The sequence below is a fragment of the Homo sapiens genome, chromosome 2 (genome assembly GCF_000001405.40).
Source record: "Homo sapiens chromosome 2, GRCh38.p14 Primary Assembly".
NCBI lineage: Eukaryota > Metazoa > Chordata > Mammalia > Primates > Hominidae > Homo > Homo sapiens.
Window position 1 is genome coordinate 129,262,392 of NC_000002.12, and position 17,693 is coordinate 129,280,084.

Here is a 17,693-nt window from a genome sequence, read left to right on the forward strand (position 1 = left end):
ATCTTAGAAATTAACTACCAGGGCAAATAGTGTCTTTGGTTTTCACAATATGCAGTTGTCCTTCCTTTATGAGACATTCAAGTGGCTGTGGTCATAGCCCCTTGCAGTGTAGTGGAGCCAAAGACAAGTTCTGGCCAATGAAATGTGAGCATAAGTCACCAGTGCCATTCCTGGGCTGAGGCAGAAAAAGTGGCCCCAGAGAGGTAACTGCCCTCTAGAGTGAACTTTGCATGGAGCGAGCTATAAAATTTTGTTGTGTAAGTCTGACAATCTGGTGGATGTTGGTTACTAGAAAATAGTCTAGCCTACCCTCTTTATCCTGTATAAAAAGGTTATTATTGACACTTCTGTATTAGTGTTTCCTGTTTTTTCTTTGCTTTCAAATGAGGGTAAAACAAATAGGAGAATTAGAAACAAAGAGGTGGCCTATACTTGAGAAACTATAATATGCACCTAACATTGTACATCACAAGAAGAAACAAAGGCAATAGGATTTTTCCAAGAAGAGTTTTGGCAACAGCCTTTCCCAAAGCTCTGGAACCCAATCCAGACTCCCTTCACAAGGTGAATTCAAAGTGTGTTAAAGCTGTGTTCATGTAATATGATACTTCAATTGCCTTAACAATGATTAAGAGTAGCTAGAAATTGGCAGTAAGAGGACCTAATTTTATCTAGGCATTTGAGGTCTTTGGAGTTTTGTTTCAGTTAGTCAGGTTCATGAAATGGGGAGGAGATCTAACACCACCAAGAGCCCCTGAGGACAGCTCATTTCACCTTAGCAAAGCCCTTTAGTGACTCTTAGGAGGCACTAAGCCTCTGGGATACTCCTTTTCCAAAAGGAATATGTAGCTAAAACACATGGAATTACCTATTCTACATCTAATTTTAGCTATTAGCCTCACCAAGCTTATATAAAAATAGCCTCACCAAACATATATAAAAATAGGGGGACAAATCTGTACCATCACCTTTTCCAAAGTCTGCACCATTCCAGAATTTCAGAGCTCACTGCAGACATCACAATTATAAACCCAGACTAGGAACAATCATCTGACATTGGTACAGGGGACGCATGAGGGAGTGAAAAGAGCATTTGTCCAAGAGTCCTGAATAGTGGCTCCATCCCTACCAGTAATCACCTACAGGACTTTGGGCAAATCTTTTTCCCTCCTTGAGCTTTAATTTTCTTATTGAAAATCTATTCTATCCTAAAAACCATAAGTTTTCTAGATGAACTACTCTGTAATGATGGTTTATTACTAGTCAACACATAAACTTAACAGCGTGCTACTAGTCAGGAGCTTGGCTGCCTATCTGTTTATTTAATTTATATGCACTCAAACCATGCAGTGCAGCCTGAGTAGTGACCTGGAATGCAAATGCACACACAAAGTAGAGATGGCGGCCCTTTTGTGAAGAGAGGCTGATTGCAGCTGCCCATGGCCAGACAGCCCCCTCTGTCTGCCTTCTTTCTCTCAGCCCTGTCTTTGCACTTAATATGTTTCGAGCTTCTGTGCTTTCAAGTCTACAGTAATTTATCTTGTGCACAGAAAGAGTATAAGATGTGACCTAATTAAATTCAAAATAATTAATGGGAAGCTAACAGAGAAAACCATGATAGTTTAGAGATTTTATGGCCACTGCATCAATAAAACTTCTTCTCTCACATGACCTGCATTTCACTGGTTTCCTTTCCTTCCACTATTTATTCTGTTTGCAACCATTGTAGGCAGAACAGAGTATTACAGAATCACAGCAATCTGCTCTCTATTTTTAAACTGCAAGGCTGAACATCATTCTTGCTCTTCTCATTCAATGTGAGTGCTCATTCCAATTTCTTTAAATCTGGATGGATTGTTTTATAGTAAGGAATGGCAACAAAATGAATTGATAGGTAACAGAAGGGAGTCCTCAACAGGCTTTTTAGGGTAATGGCATTAAATGGTGGGATGTAGAATTTTCTTGAAAATACCAAAAGTTCATTTTGCAGATTTTCTTTGAAATGTTTTTTCCAAATCTTTGTCTTAAGAACAAATATTTGAAATGAAGATTAATCACAGTAAGAGTAACAATGTGCCCATCCAGATTGGCATTCTAGGACTTATGCACAGCCATTCATTCACTGTAATAGAGAAAGACAAATAACATAGGAGGAAGAGGGTCACAGCCTAGCAAGCAGAGAATGCACTCTTGAGATAACCTGCTTGGCTTCATCCCAGTCCTGTCACCTACTTGCTACAAGCACTGAATCACTTAATTTCCCTATGCTTCAGCTTACACATTTGTAAAAAAAAAAAAAAAGGTGAATGATAAAAATACATTCTCCTGTGGGTTGACATGAGGGTTAAACCATTTGATATATGTAAGTGTGTACATAGTTGGCATTCATAGGTGCCATAGGAGTGTTGGCCAGGACAACTTACTTTGAGGAAAGACTCTTCAGAGAGTGTAGTTTGGATCTTGCCCAATAACTCCGATTGGGAATGATTAGCAAGGGATGTCAGGGATATCTGCAGCCCTTATCAATTCCCATGACCCAGAGACACTCAGGTGTGAGATCAGGAGGGAGGCTGAGGTCGTGGTGTCCTGAAAAATATGAAGGAGCAATCAAGTGCAGAGGATGTAACCTAAACTCAGAATGTAGCATGATGTTTCAGAGACAAGTAAACCTTGAGATTAAGAACTATTTACTATTTTTCCTTTCTAAACATGAAAATCCCAGCCAGGACCCAGAAGTGTCATGGTGATCTATCTGGACTTGTGTTGGTTTTTGCAGCTAAAGAATCTAGATGTGGGTCAACCGTGCATGCATCCATGAAGCAGCTTAAAACCCACACCATTTTCCCTGTATTACAAGGGACTTTTAGTGGGGGCGCTTGGGGTGCAGATCCCACCTGCTCTCGCCAGTGCCATCAATAATATGGTCAAATCCTATGAGAGTCTAGGGAATGTGATCTATGCAGGCCAAGCTGAGGCTGTACACTAATCAGATGAGACAAGTCTGTGATTAGCCCATCACAGCTACTTTTTGTATCTCTGTGCCTTGAGTGCACCTTTCTATTAGAGTTTCAGGAAAGGGGAATAAAACCTGAATCCACTTGCTGGAATAAGACTCTAATAGCTCAAACTTTCATGCTAATTCACTAACAACACTGAAGGTGACAAGAGGATCATAGAGAGCTATGAAGGTAGAGCACATGCTATTCAAGGAGTTGCTTATATTTGCATCAACTGAGAACAAAGCAACTAGGAAAGGGTGAAGTTACAAAGGACTCCTTTGATTTAGTCATTAGGGGATTGTCTGATTATGAGAGATAGGTATATATTGCTAAGGAGATAGTTCAGAGGCAACTGGATGGGCTGGGAGTGAAAAAATCTCAGTTGTTTCAATATAACACTTACTAGCAAAGAGTGTGGGACAATCTCATCATTTTTCTGATTCTTGAGTTTCTCATCTGCAAAACTGGAGATTAATAACCAATGTGAAACTTTCTTGTATTCTAACACTTCATGGTACTCAGTATCAAAGCCTTTCTTGAACCTCAAAATAGAAATACAGAATAAGGATGTTAGAAAGAATACTCAGAGAGCTGCAGAAAATCAGTGAATAAAGTGCAGATAATGTGACACTTGGAATGATTTACATAATAAGTTAACAGTAAAATTAATTGGGATAGGGGTAACTGCACTCAACCATAAATGAGCAACTGGAAGAGGAATCAGATCCATATCCAATATAAGCTCACTGTCAAGAAAGTTTGTAAACTTTATGACTAAATAAAATTGAATAAAAATATTTTATAACAGAAGTGACATCAGCAAGCTGAAAAAATACAAGATTCCAATTCTCACAGACCCATATAAACATTGATTTTTGACAATCAAACACTGTCAGGAATATCTATATGAGAACCTAGGAATACAATGGAGAGATTCCAGCACGCTGTTCTAGCAAAAATATAATTACAAATATAGTTAAGAAGGTAAGAAGAACAGTGTCACTTTAAAATATTACCCTTCCCCCAAAGCAGCACAGCTCAGTGCCAAGAGAGACCTCATTGGCCCACAGTTTGTCCCACATGTGAAAGTGAGAGTAATGTGAGATCCTGACTTCCCCAGGCTTGTGAGATATTGCCCAAGAGGCCCAATTCTGCCTCATTCCACCCAAACTACTGAGAGCGTCAGCATAACTATACAGTCTAGAGGAGTTAGAAGTGGGGAAAAATGATGGGGGCTCACTGAAACTTTCAAGTGAATTTCAAAAACTGGACACAGATACTATTAACTGTCCTGAAAACTTTCCCAAGAGGCCTGCCCATGACCCCTGTGAGACATCTCACCTAAAGCCCCTGCATGAACTTAGCATTCCACAGGTATCCTTGAGATGGTATATGAAAGTCTCTGCAGCACAGGTGAGTCCCTGCAGATTATGAACAAGCACTCACAGAGAGACAGCTTGATTTTGGAATATTGAAAGAGGACATACAATCTTAAAAAGAAGAAACAAGAGGTGTGAGGCAGGCGCATCCATAGAAAAGGCCTGACAGATTTCCCAAATATCTAGCTGGGCTGACTAATAAAAGTCTTTCTGTCCTAAAATTAGTCAGTAAAGAGTGGAGGAGAAAACTACTTCTTCAAACACAAGGACAGTAAGACAAACTTCAAAGAACATAAAGAATCAAGAAAACATAACACCAACAAAGGAACAAAATAACGTTCCAGTGGCTGACTCCAACGAAATGGCAATCGACAAATTGCCTGATGAAGAATTCAAACTAATCTAGGAAACACAGAGAGAAAACCTAAACAATATTAGTAAAACAATACATGAACAGAAGGAAACATTCAACAAAGAGAGAGAAACCATAAAAAAGAACCAAACAGAAATTCTGGAGCTAAATAATATAATGACTAGACTAAAAATTTCAATGGAGAGTTTCAAGAGCAGACTCAATAAAGCAGAAGAAATGATCAGCAAGCTTGAAGACAGGTTATTTGAAATTATTCAGGAGGGAACACCAATTTAAAAAGGAACAAAAAAGAATGAAAGAAGCCTATGTGATTTATGGGATACAATCAACAGAAACATTTTATACACTATGGAAATCTAAGAAAAAGCAAAGAAAGAGAACAGGGAGGAAGCTTATTTAAAGAAATAATAAAAGAAAATTTCCCAAATCTGGAGAAAGAAATGAACATCCATATCTATGATACACAAAGGACCTCAATAGGCTCAACATCAAGAAATATTAACCAAAACATATTATATTCAAATTGTCCAAATTTGAAGATAAAAAATTAAAACAGCAAGAGAAAAATTGGATTATCATATACACAGGAACTGTCATAAGACTATCAGCAGATTTCACAACAGCAACCTTGCAGACCTGGAGAGAGTGGTATGATACTCAAAGTGCTATAAGAAAAAAGCTGCCAAGAAAGAGTATTTTACCTGGCAAAGCTGTCTTTCAGAAATGAAAGAGAAAGAAAGACTATTCCAAACAACTAAAAGTTGAGGAAGTTTATCACCATTAGACCTGCACTACAAGTAATGCTAAAAGGTGTTCTTCAAGTTGAAAGAGAAGAACACTAAATAGCAACAAAACATATGAAATTATAAAACTTACTGATAAAGGTAAGTATAGAATTAAATTCAGAATACCTTAATATTTTAATAGTGGTGTGAAAATCATGTTTAATATTAGTATGAAAGAAGACAAAATTATAGAATAATTATTGCTATAATAATTCATTGATAAATACACATTATAAAAAGAGGTAAATAGAGATTTTTATGTGATCAAAGTTAGTTTGACATCAGCTTAAAATAGACTGTTACAAGTATGTTTTATGTAAGCATCATAGTAAGCACACACAAACAAACCTGTAGTAGATACACAAAAGATAAAGAGAAAAAAGTCAAACATAATCATACATAGAAATTAAATGAACAAAAAAAGAGAGCAAGAGAAGGAACAAAAGAACGACAAACCAGTCTGAAAGCAATTAACAAGATAGCAAAAGTAAGTCTTCATCTATCAATAATTTCTTTAAATGTAAATTAAATTATCAAATCAAAAAACACAGAGTGGCTAAATGCATTAAAAAAACAAGATCCAACTAAATACTACCAACAAGAGACTAACTTTAGCTTTAAACACACATATAGGCTGAAAGTGAAGAGATAGAAAAAGATAATGTATGCAAATTATAACCAAAATAGAGCAGGTATGGCTATCCTATATTAGACAAAATATATGTCAAATCAAAACTGTCAGAAGGGACAGAGAATGTAACTATATAATGATTAGGCAGTACGTTTTTCAACAGGAGATAACAATTATAAATATTGATGTACCCAACACTGGAACCACTAGTATATAAAAGGGATAGTAACAAAACTGAAAGGAGTAATACAAAACAATACAATGATAGTAGGGGCTATGGTCTGAGTGTTGGTGTCTTCCCTAAATTAATATGTTATTACTAAATTCCCAATGTGATTGTATTAAGAGGTGAGGCCTTTGAGAAAAGATTAACTCATGAGGGCAGAGCCCTCACAGGGTTATTGCCCTTCATGTGAGAGTCCAGTGTTCCCCCCTTCTGCCATGGAAGAACACAGCAAGAGATACCATCTAAGAAACAGACAGTGAGCCTTCACCAGACACCAAACTGCTGACACCTTGATCTTGGACTTCCCAGCCTCCAGAATTGTGAGAAATAAATTAATATTATTTATAAATTACCCTGTCTAAGGTATTTTGTTACAGCAGTCCAAATGTACCAAGAAAGTAGGAGACTTTAATACTCTACCTTGAACATTACATAGATTATGCAGATCAAAAAATTAATATACTACATTTTAACGACACTATAGACTAAATGGACATAACAGACATATATAGAACATTTCATTCAATAGCAACAAAATATACATTCTTCTCAATCACACATGGAACACTCTCTAGGATAGGTCATGTGTTAGGCCACAAAACAAAGTATTAACAAATTTGAGGAAATTGAAATCATAACAAATATATTTTCTGAACACAATGGTATTAAAATAAAAATCAAGAACAGAAGGAAAATTAGAAAATTTGCAGACATGTGGAAATTAATCAGTGCACTTTTGAATAACCAAGAAAGTCACAGAAGAAATCAAAACAGAAATTTAAAAATATATCTTTATGCAAATGAAATTGAAAAAAACAACACATCAAAATTTACAGGATGCAGCAGAATCAGTTTTAAGAAAGAAGTTTATGGCAATAAATGCCTACATTAAGGGAAAAAATATCTCAAATAAACAACCTAAATTTACACCTCAAAGTACTTGAGAAAAAAAGAATATACCAAGCCCCAAGTTTCCAGAAGGAAGGAAATAATAAAGATTATAGCAGAAATAAATTAAATAGGGACTTAAAAATGATAGAAAAGATCATTGAAAGTATTAATGAGTTGTTTTTCTGAAAAGGTAAACAAAATTAACAACACTTTAGCTAGACTAATAAAAAAAGAGAGAAGACAAATAATAAAATTAAAAATGAAAGAGAAGACATTACAACTGCTATTACAGAGTTATAAAGGAACGTGAGACTACTATGAATAATTTTATGCCAACAAATTGGATATAATAGGGAAAACTGATAAGTTCCTAGAAACATGCAACCTACCAAGACTAAATCTTGAAGAAATAGAAAATATGAACAGAACTACAATGACTAAGGAGATAGAATCAGTAATCAGAAACCTTCCAACAAAGGAAAGCTTTAAAGCAGATGGCTTGACTAATGAATTTCACCAAACATTTAAAGAATTAATGCGAATCCTTCTCAAACTCTCCCAAAATATTGAAGAGGAGAGACCACTTCCAAACTCATTTTACAAGGTCTGCATTACCTTGATAACTAAACTAGACAAAAACCCTACAAGAAAAGAAAATCACGGGCCAATATCTTTGATGAACACAGATGTAAAAATCCTCAACAAAATTGAACAGCATAATAAAAGCATTTTCACCATTATCAAATGAGATTTATCCCTGGGATAAAAGGATATTCAACATTTGCAAATCAATAAATATGATTCACCACTTTAGCAGAATGAAGGAGAAAAGTCATAGTATCATCTCAATAGATGCAGCAACATCATTTGACAAAATTCAATATCCTTTCATGATAAGAACTCTCAACAAACTAGGTACAGAAGGAATGTTCCTCAACATAATAAAGGCCATATATGTCAAGCCTCCAACTAACATTATACTCAATGTTGCTTTTCCTCCAAGATAAAGAAGTCAAGAATTACCCCCTCTTGTCACCTCTATTAAAAATAGTACCTGAAGTACTAGCAAGAGCAATCAGACAAGAAAAAAAAAATAAAACGCATCCAAATCAGAAAGGGAGAAGTAAAACAATCTGTATTTGGATATGACATGATTCTACATGTAGAAAACCCTAAAGGTTGCAAAAAATAAAAAGATGTTAGAACTAATAAATGAGGCCAGGCACAGTGGTTCACGCCTGTAATCCCAGCACTTTGGGAGGACAAGGCAGGTGAATCACTTGAGGTCAGGAGTTCAAGACAAGCCTGGCTTACATGGTGAAACCCCGTCTCTACTAAAAATACAAAAAAGTTAGCAAAGCGTGGTGGTGGGTGCCTGTAATCCCAGCTACTTGGGAGGCTGAGGCAGGAGAATTGCTTGAACCTGGGAGACAGAGGTTGCAGCGAGCCAAGGTGCACCACTGCACTCCAGCCTGGGTGACAGAGCAACACTCCATCTCAAAAAAAAAAAAAAAAAAAAACAGGAACTAATAAATGATTTCAGTAAAGTTACAGGATACAAAATCAAAGTACAAAAATCATTTGCATTTATTTACAACAGTAATGATTTATCTGAAAAAGGAATCAGGGAAACAATACCATTTATAATAGCATCAAAATAATAAACTAGGAATAAAATTAAGCAAGAAGATAAAAGATCTCTACATTGAAAATAATAAAGCTTTGATGAAAGAAATTAAAGATGATATACATAAATGGCAAGATATAATGTGTTCATGGATTCAATAAATCAATATTTTAAAAATGGTCATACTACCCAAAGTCATATACAGATTCAACATAATCCTTATCAAAATTCCAATGATATTCTTTACAAAAATAGAACAATTATAAAATTCCTGTAGAATCACAACAAAAGATCCCAAATAACCAAAGCAATCCTGAGAAAGGAAGACAAATTTGGAACCGTCACACTCCCTGATTTCAAATTGTACCACAAAGCTGTAGTAATCAAAACAGCAAGGTACTGGCATAAAAATCAGATGCGCAGACCAATGGAACAGAATAGAAAGCTCAAATAATCTCAACCATATTTGGTCTACTAATTTTCAATGAAGAAATAATGGGGAAAGAATTATCTCTTGAATAAATGGTGTTGAGAAAACTAGGTATCTACTTGCAAAAGAATAAAATTAGACCCTTATGCCATTTACAAAAAGCAACACAAAATAGATTAGAGACCTAAATGTAAAACTTGAAATAATAAGAATCTTAGAAGAAAACTTAGGAAAAACACTCATTGACATTGGTCTTGGCAATGATATTTTGACTAGGATTCTACAAGAACACAAGTAACAAAAGCAAAAATAAACAGATGGGACTACAATAAGCTAAAAAGCTTCTGTACAGCAAGAGAAACCAACAAAATGAAAAGGACCTAAAGATTTGGAGAAAGTATTTGCAAACTGTATATCCGATAAGGGGTTAATATGCCAAATATATAAGAAATGCACACAACTAAATAGCAAAAAAAAAAAAAAAAAAAAAATTAATACCCTGATTTAAAAACGGGCAACGGACCTGAATAGACACTTTTCTAAAAATATACAAATGTCCAATAGATATATAAAAAATGTTCAACATCACCAATCATTAGGAAAATGCAAATCAAAACCACAATATTAATATTACCTCTCACACCTGTTACAATAGCATGTGTGAATATATATAATACACATATAAATGTATATGTAATATACATGTAACATATATTTCTAATAATATGCGTGATATATATATATATATTTCTAGTGTTGGCGAAAGTGTGGAAAAAAGAAAAGTGAACCATTATACATTATTACATTGTTAGTGGTAATATAAATTATTCTGACCATTGTGGAAAACAGTATGGATGTTCCTCAAAAAAATTAAAAATAGACCTATCATATCCCAGCAATCCCTCTTATATATCCAAAAGGACTGAAATTGAAGAGATATCTGCACAATCATGTTCATTACAGTACAATTCACAATACCCAAAGTTTAAAAAATCTAAGCGTCCATCTATAGATAAATGGAAAAAGACATGGCATGTATATACAATGGAATATTAGCCCTCCTTTAAAAAGAAGGAAATCCTGCCATTTGCAACACCATGAATGAATGTGGAAGACATTATGCTACGTGAAATAAGCCCGACACAGAAAGATAAACACCGTATGATCTGACTTATATGTGGAATCTAAAATAGTCCAATTCATAGAGGCAGAATAGAATGGTGGTTACCAGGGGCTAGGGGAAGGGGATGTGGGTAGATGTTGATGTTGAGGAGCACAAAGTTTCATGTATGCAAGGTGAATATGTTCTGGAGATCCAATACACAGCATGGTAACTACAGGTAACAATACTGTACTCTCTACTTAACATTTGCTACGAGGGCAGAACCTGAATATCCTCACCATACACACAAAAAAGGTAACTACGTAAGGTGTTGGATATACTTATTAGGTTGATTTTGTTGATTATTTAACAATATATTAGCATATCAAATCATCAAGTTTTATGCTGCAAATATAGACAATTTTTAAAAATACATTTTATTTATTTATTATTTTAAATAAAAGTATAACTAGAAAATCCCTGAGTATTAATTGATTGCCTTTTATAAACTGAGGTGAGGTATACGCTTGGCCTGGTAAACTCTGAGAGTAGAGAAGACTGAGAGGGTCTGAACCTGAACAGGATCCCACCTTGGGGTGTGCCAGTGATAAGGTCAGAGCTGGCTACAGGTGCCACGCAGATATCTGGCCCTCTAGAGAGCAATGGGAAATCAGAGAGGGGCAGCTCGGAGGGGCCTCAGGGCCTGCGTCAGGGTAACTGGGATCTTGGGCCGGGTGGGAGGGTCACTGACGGGAATGGTGGAAGTACTTACATTCAGAGTTCCAAGGTGGCCCCCCCAGGAAGGGTCTTGTCCAGCAGGGGTGGGTGCTCCAACCTATGGGTGGCAGGAATATGCTCCATTTCAATAAGGCACCACTGAGTAGGAAAGTTCCTCAAATAGGCAGTGAGGCAGGGGTAGGGATGTCAGCACAGGGACTGAAGGTCAGTGCTGACTTACAGAAGGAAGAGAAAGGAACCAGCATGTGCTAAGTGTATGTCGCATATCACATTCCTGATACTGCACCAGTCTGCCTGCAAATCTTTTCCCAAGGAATCCTCACACAAGCCAGAGAGTATTACTTACAACATAGTTTGCACTTGATGTAACTGGGCTCAGAGCCCCTAGTTCATCACGAAGACTGAGTGAGATCCAAACCCTGCTTGGGCTCTAAAGTCTGTGCCCTTGCAACAGTGCTCCTGAAGTCCCCTGTGCTTGCTGGCCTGCCAGGATGGTTCTGCGACTTTATGAAGGAAGAGCCTACCAAGAGGGACTGGACAATGGGAGCTAGGTAGGCTCCTACCTGCCACCACAGGAATGAGAACACCAACACACAGGCAGATGACCCACAGGAGCGCCAGCCTAGAATTAGCCTTCCCCAACACAGGCTGCTGCAGCTCACATGTGCCTTGTTGGCATAAGGCAGCAGCCAGCTCCTTGGTTCACACCATCTGCCCTGTCCTCTGCTCCTTTTCCTGGTTGACAGCTGGGCCTTCAAGTCCTCCAGCCTCTACCAAGTCTTCTCATTCAGCTTCTTAGGCTCCTGGGCCACATCCATGTTTAGTTTCAGGAATAAGAGTAGAACACCCCTATTATCCAGGGTTGGAGGTGGTGACAGAGCAATGTGGCTTCCAGTTCATTGCATGGGTTCCTGATGGTCCTTGTGGTTTCTGTTTGTCTTTCCATACTGCCTGCTGAAACCCTGATGACTGCAGGTGCAACATCAGCTGCAGATAAACCTTAACCAGCTTCCACAATGGGATAAGAACAAGCCTCCATAATAAGTCCCTTATTTTGTATCACTCCTAGTGGTTTTGCTTCTTGGATTTCATCTGAGAAGTTCTGTTTTCACTGTGCATCTCTGTAGATGACCAGAGGACATCAGGAATAAGAATATTTCATAGTTACTGTAAAGATTATACACACACATACATGTATGTATCATTTATATAAGGGCCTAACTGAATGCCTAGCACAGAGTAGGTCTTCAACAAGAGTAGCTATCACTAATTGCTTCATTACAAAGCTGGGTCAAGCTCTAGTAGCAGTTCCACATGGGCAAAAAGGCTTCATAGTTTTTGGAATCTGAATAGGAGATCAAAGACGATCTGCATTGCAATTCCCATGATGAGGAGTTTAATTATGAACAATGGGAAGAATAATGCATGCAGACTGTTTACAGATAGCTAATGGCCTAATATGCTAAATATAGTTGCAGTTCCCTAACCAAAAGCTCGGTCTGCTCTATGGAAGCAGACTGAAAGCCCCCACTGCTGTGCAATGCGGGTGAGAACAGCTGGAACAAATGTTCTCTTCCTTGCCACTGAATGATAAATCACACCTGTCAATGAATAAAACATTCCGTCTCAGCAATCAAGCAATGGATTTTTAAGAAGCCTTACCATTTATCAGTTTAGCTATTGATTACCTGTGAACGGTCATTTCATCAGAGGGATAATGAATGGGAGAGCAGAGTTCCAATGTGCAATGTGAAGTGAGTTCGTAAGTTTGCCTCCAGAAACTTGATAGTATTTAAACTTGCCCCAAAGCATTAAGGAACTTATAATAGATGTAACCACCTGTCGTTGGATTTCTGATTAACAATAACAGGTGTACTAAGCAAAAAATAGACAAATGCTGATTAAAGAAACTGAGGCCAGTTGCCCACCAGCAGCATTACCCAGAACTTTAGGATGCTGACAAAAACAAGACACGACTGTGTGCATAACAGGAGGCAAGATGAGCAGTTTTGAGTTCACACCTGAGGTCTTCTCCAAACCCTAGGCCAGCCTGGCATAATTTTGTTCATATTCCTTGTCATTTTGGTTTTGTTCTGAGAAACATGATTGTGCTCATTGCATGAGCTGCTCAATTGCTTAACAAGTGATGTGCCAGTAAGTATTTAACAACTAGCTCTCTGAGAAAAAGGAGCTTATGTGCAGTGTTTTGTCAATGTATGGTCTAAATGTAATGTGGTTTAAATACTCCCACTATGGATGATTTCAAGCTGTCAATGTGATGCCCCTGCACTCAGAGTTGGGAAGAAAGGCTAGCAATCAGCTCTTATGAGTCAGTATGAGCCAACTCCAGCCCACACAGTGTGAACCGCCAACACACCTTGTCTGTATTGTGCCGGCTTGTGTCTTGGAAGTTGCACCTATCTCCACATTAGAAGATGAATGTCTCGGACTCCTTTCTTTTATGAGCTTCATATTTATACTCTTCCTTCTGCCAAGAGACATTCTGCCAAGTGTCTTCCTTGCAGCAGAAATTTAGAAAACAACATCAAAAGTAATGAATCGTCTAAGACAGGAAGGTTTGAACTATAAAAACAATGATGTGCAAAACTTACCTAGGTGTTCTGCTATCAAATAAAATAATGGTTATTTTTCCCAGGCCAAAGGAAAAGAAAATTGCTGGATAACCGTTTTTCTGTGGTAAGCATTGAGGGCACCACACATCTGCCTGTTTTTCTGTTTAACAGTGTTCAGCCATTAATTTTGTACTCATGATGACCTCTTCCAAATTAGCTTAGGCCCAGCTTTCTCACCTCTAGTCTTCACTGGAAATCAACAGCAATCCAGGATTTAGAAATGTTTGACTTTCCCCTTTATTGATGAATGCTCTAAGTTAGTGTTCTAAATTACCCCCATCCTGGAGTTGGCATTTTGAGATAGGAATGAGGTACAAGATGCAGTAACTGAAGAAGTAGTAAAGCACAGTAGTCAACAGTGCAGACTGCACAATCAGAGTTGAGCAAGAATACTGGACTCATTGTGAATCTGTTCTTGGACAATTACCTCCTCAGTTTTCTCATCTATGAAATGGAGGTAAGTTAGTAGCTGCATGTAGCAGGTGACATCTGTGTGCTGACCTGACAGACATTCCCAACTCCTCTTCTCTCTTGTTGCAATTCACCCCACTGTACTCTACCATCTGAGAAAATTAAATGCATATTTTGCCAAAACTCTTTGCTAAAAAAGGATAACCCTATAACACAATTGTGGCTGTATCGTAGGAATGAAAGATTTCTGGTCTCTTCTGAGAAATATTTTACTTTGTCTGATAACAGGGACACATGTAGCTGGCAACAACTCTTCCTTTTTGGATGTAAATGTGATGTCTGGGAAAGCAATAGTAGCCATTTGGTGACCATGGGGTAAGAGGCCCATGGAAAAGGCCATAAGAATCACAGAGAGCCATAAAATCACTGCCAGGGAGACTCTCTCCAGATTTCCTGCGATACAGGATGAACACATTGCCTGACAAATAGAAAGGATGGCAATTTTACATGTTTATGAGTCACTATTCAGTCTGTCATTACTATTTATTACTGTACAGGATTCGTGCCTTCTGCTGTATCGCTCACAGCATGTAGGGCACTGGACTGAGGGCAGCAAGTCTGCTGTATAGAGGCTTACCATTTGATGCCACAATCCATGCCTTGGAAGAGCTTCTAAGTTTAATAAGGAAACAGATACATGCATGCACAACAATCTGAAGGCATTTAAAGGCAGTGGTTAACTATATGACCACGTGTTTCAGAGAGGTACTATAGGATTTCTGAAAGAGATCCATGTGGTTGGAATGGTCCAGGGAGACTTCATGGGGAGGCCTGTCTTAAGACAGGCCCTGAGGGGCAGTGATGAAGTGGGATGTAGGCAATGAAAGAACATACTAACTGGGAATCCCCTGTAGAAATGGCCGTAGAGCTCTAATAATGTCTGCTTTGGGAGATGCTGTTGGTTCCTCCTAATCCCTTCAATCACTCCACTCTCTCGCCAGCCACTGGTCACCTACCCTCAGCTCCTTTGCGTGTTGGCTGCTAATGGCTCACAGCTGCCCCTTTCTCCAGAGAATCACACTTAGCTATTAGAAGCTGCCTGATTGGGAGTTTGTGGCCCCTCCCCTATGGACAGCTCACAGCTAATGACTAAGTGATAAAAGTCTGGCTTTTTGCCTAATTGCACTCTGCAATACAATTCACACACAAGAACTCCCCATGGGATCAGGCTGAAGTCAGTCTCCAGCTGAGACCACATCTTTGCCTATCTTTGCCCTACTCTGTCATCCTTCCTTCATCCCCTTTCTCCTGAGATCATTTCCTCAATAAATCATGCAAATCCCTGTCTCAGGCTCTGCTTCTAAGGAACTCTGGTCTAGCTCATGATAAAATACTCAAGGAATGTTGAATAAATGACTTATTGAGGCAACAGTGGTTTCACACACTTGTTTTTTCATTTGTTTATTCCTTCTTCCAATAAACCCATGTTGAGCATCTGTTATTGGTGCACTGTGCAGGCATCTATAAGGCAGAGCAAAGACATGACCTGTGCCCTCAACAGACATCATCAGATACAGAATACTGTGTGTTATGGAGAAACAAGACAGGACTAAATGCACAGGTTTTTGGAAGCACACAGGCCTGGGATGAATATTACTTTATTGCTATCAATGTTACTGTGAAATAGCTCACTTCTCTAAGCCTCTTTATATCTCTCTGAAATGTAGTAATAAACCAATTAACTGCATGATTAATAGAATTTAAATGAAATAATGGGTAAAACTTTCTCAGCTCATAGTTGAATCTGAAGTGTGCTGAATGTTAGTATTACTACTATAAGTGCTAGGATTACAAGTCTTTACCTTGGGACCCAGGGGAAGAATGACCTACACACAGGAAAGGGACAATGGTGAGAAAAGGTATGCTTATAGTTATATCTGGTTCCACTTTCTAAATTCTCCTTGAAGCTGACACCTCTAATGATGTCCTAGATGTTATTGAAATTCAACCTGAATCTCTCTCTATTCCATTGTTACCTACATGCTAAATTTACCAACACAGAATGTCTTCATATTAAGAAGAAAAAGGAAAGAAGGGAAATGAGAGGGAGGATAAGAAAAGATAAAAAGAGAGAAAAGAAGAGAAAAACATTGTCATCTAACATTGAGTTTATGTCAGACAATTTATCAAAAATTCCCTGGCAGGAATGACCTTTCAGAATTGCCTCTGGAATTATTCCTCTCCAGTGGGAAATGGCAATTCAGCAAGCCCAGTCGCAGCTACAGCACATAATAAAATGAGAAACTATCCTAAATAGCTTATTTGCTGTAAAAGTACATATTTGGAGCACCCTGTGCTATGTGGTTTCACCTTCATCTTGGGTTCCAAATATCCTGGAAGGGCCCTAATAAGAAGACCAAATGATTTGAATCTCTAGCACAGACACTGGGAGAATTAGTAACTTGGCCTTAACAAGTGCAGTTTTTTCCTCATAACCGCCAAAACAATCATTTTTGATTCAAATGAATTTTATTCAACAGAAAGTATTATTTAATGGGGCTTCAAATTGTTACTAATGTGTTGTGTAATGGCTTAGGAAACACTTCAGGATTTGTTTTGTATCAAATATTTACCATGCACTTCTTTCCTGCCAGCCCCTGTGTTGCAGCAGGCTACTAGCTATGAATATGACATGATTTCCATCCTTTAGGAACCCAGTCATGATAGCGATAAGGAACTCAAGTTGTAAGTACAACACAGTGTAATAACAGCAATATCTGATATAAGTTTTTTATGGAACCACACATGAAGGCCTGGTTGAACTGACAAATGTAAATGGTATCAAGAAACTTCTGGTAATGACATCCATACGCATTGACACACTCAGGGAGGGCTACAGATCAGCAAAGTCACAGCACCAGTGGGGTCCTCCCTATAGTCCCATGCCCCATATCCTCAGGACAGTGCTCATGACTCTTGTGGGAGTATCTCCTCTCTAGGGGAATCACTCTTTTCCTCTTGGATTTATCAAGTACCATGTTTCTAACGACATATTTCTCCTTCAGCTTGTACCTGTTTCATTATCAGTATCTCCTAATTAAATCCCTAGTACTTAGGTCAGTGTCTGGCCCAAAATAGAGGCTGCCTTAGTCCATTTATATTGCTATAACAGAGTACCTGAAGCTGAGTAATTTATGAGGAAAAGAGGTTTATTTGGCTCATGATTCTAGTGACTGGAAATTCCAAGGCTGAGCAGCTGCATCTAATGAAGGCCTCATGCTGCTTCCATTCATGGCAGAAAGTAGAACTGAAGTGGGTATGTGCAAAGACATCACATGGCATGAAAGGAAGCAAGAGAGAGTTTAGGAATTTAAATTTGCTTCTAAACCAGCTGTCCAATAGTTAATCCAACCTTGCAAGAGTGAGAACTCACTCCCACAAGATGGCATTCATCTATTCGTGTGGGAT

The 17,693-nt window shown here is 38.1% G+C and overlaps 2 long non-coding RNA genes across 4 annotated transcripts in view; one reads left to right on the plus strand and one right to left on the minus strand.

Moving 5' to 3' along the window:
• Positions 1 to 11,500, minus strand: part of LINC01854 (long intergenic non-protein coding RNA 1854) — a 31,719-nt gene extending 20,219 nt beyond the window's left edge. For all 3 annotated transcript variants that reach the window (NR_122041.1, NR_122042.1, NR_122040.1), the window contains exon 1: positions 11,216 to 11,500. This is a non-coding gene — a long non-coding RNA (long intergenic non-protein coding RNA 1854). The remainder of the gene's footprint in view (positions 1 to 11,215) is intronic.
• The window catches only part of LOC105373612 (uncharacterized), a 45,936-nt gene that overhangs the window by 19,171 nt on the left and 9,072 nt on the right, over positions 1 to 17,693 (plus strand). The window lies entirely within an intron of this gene.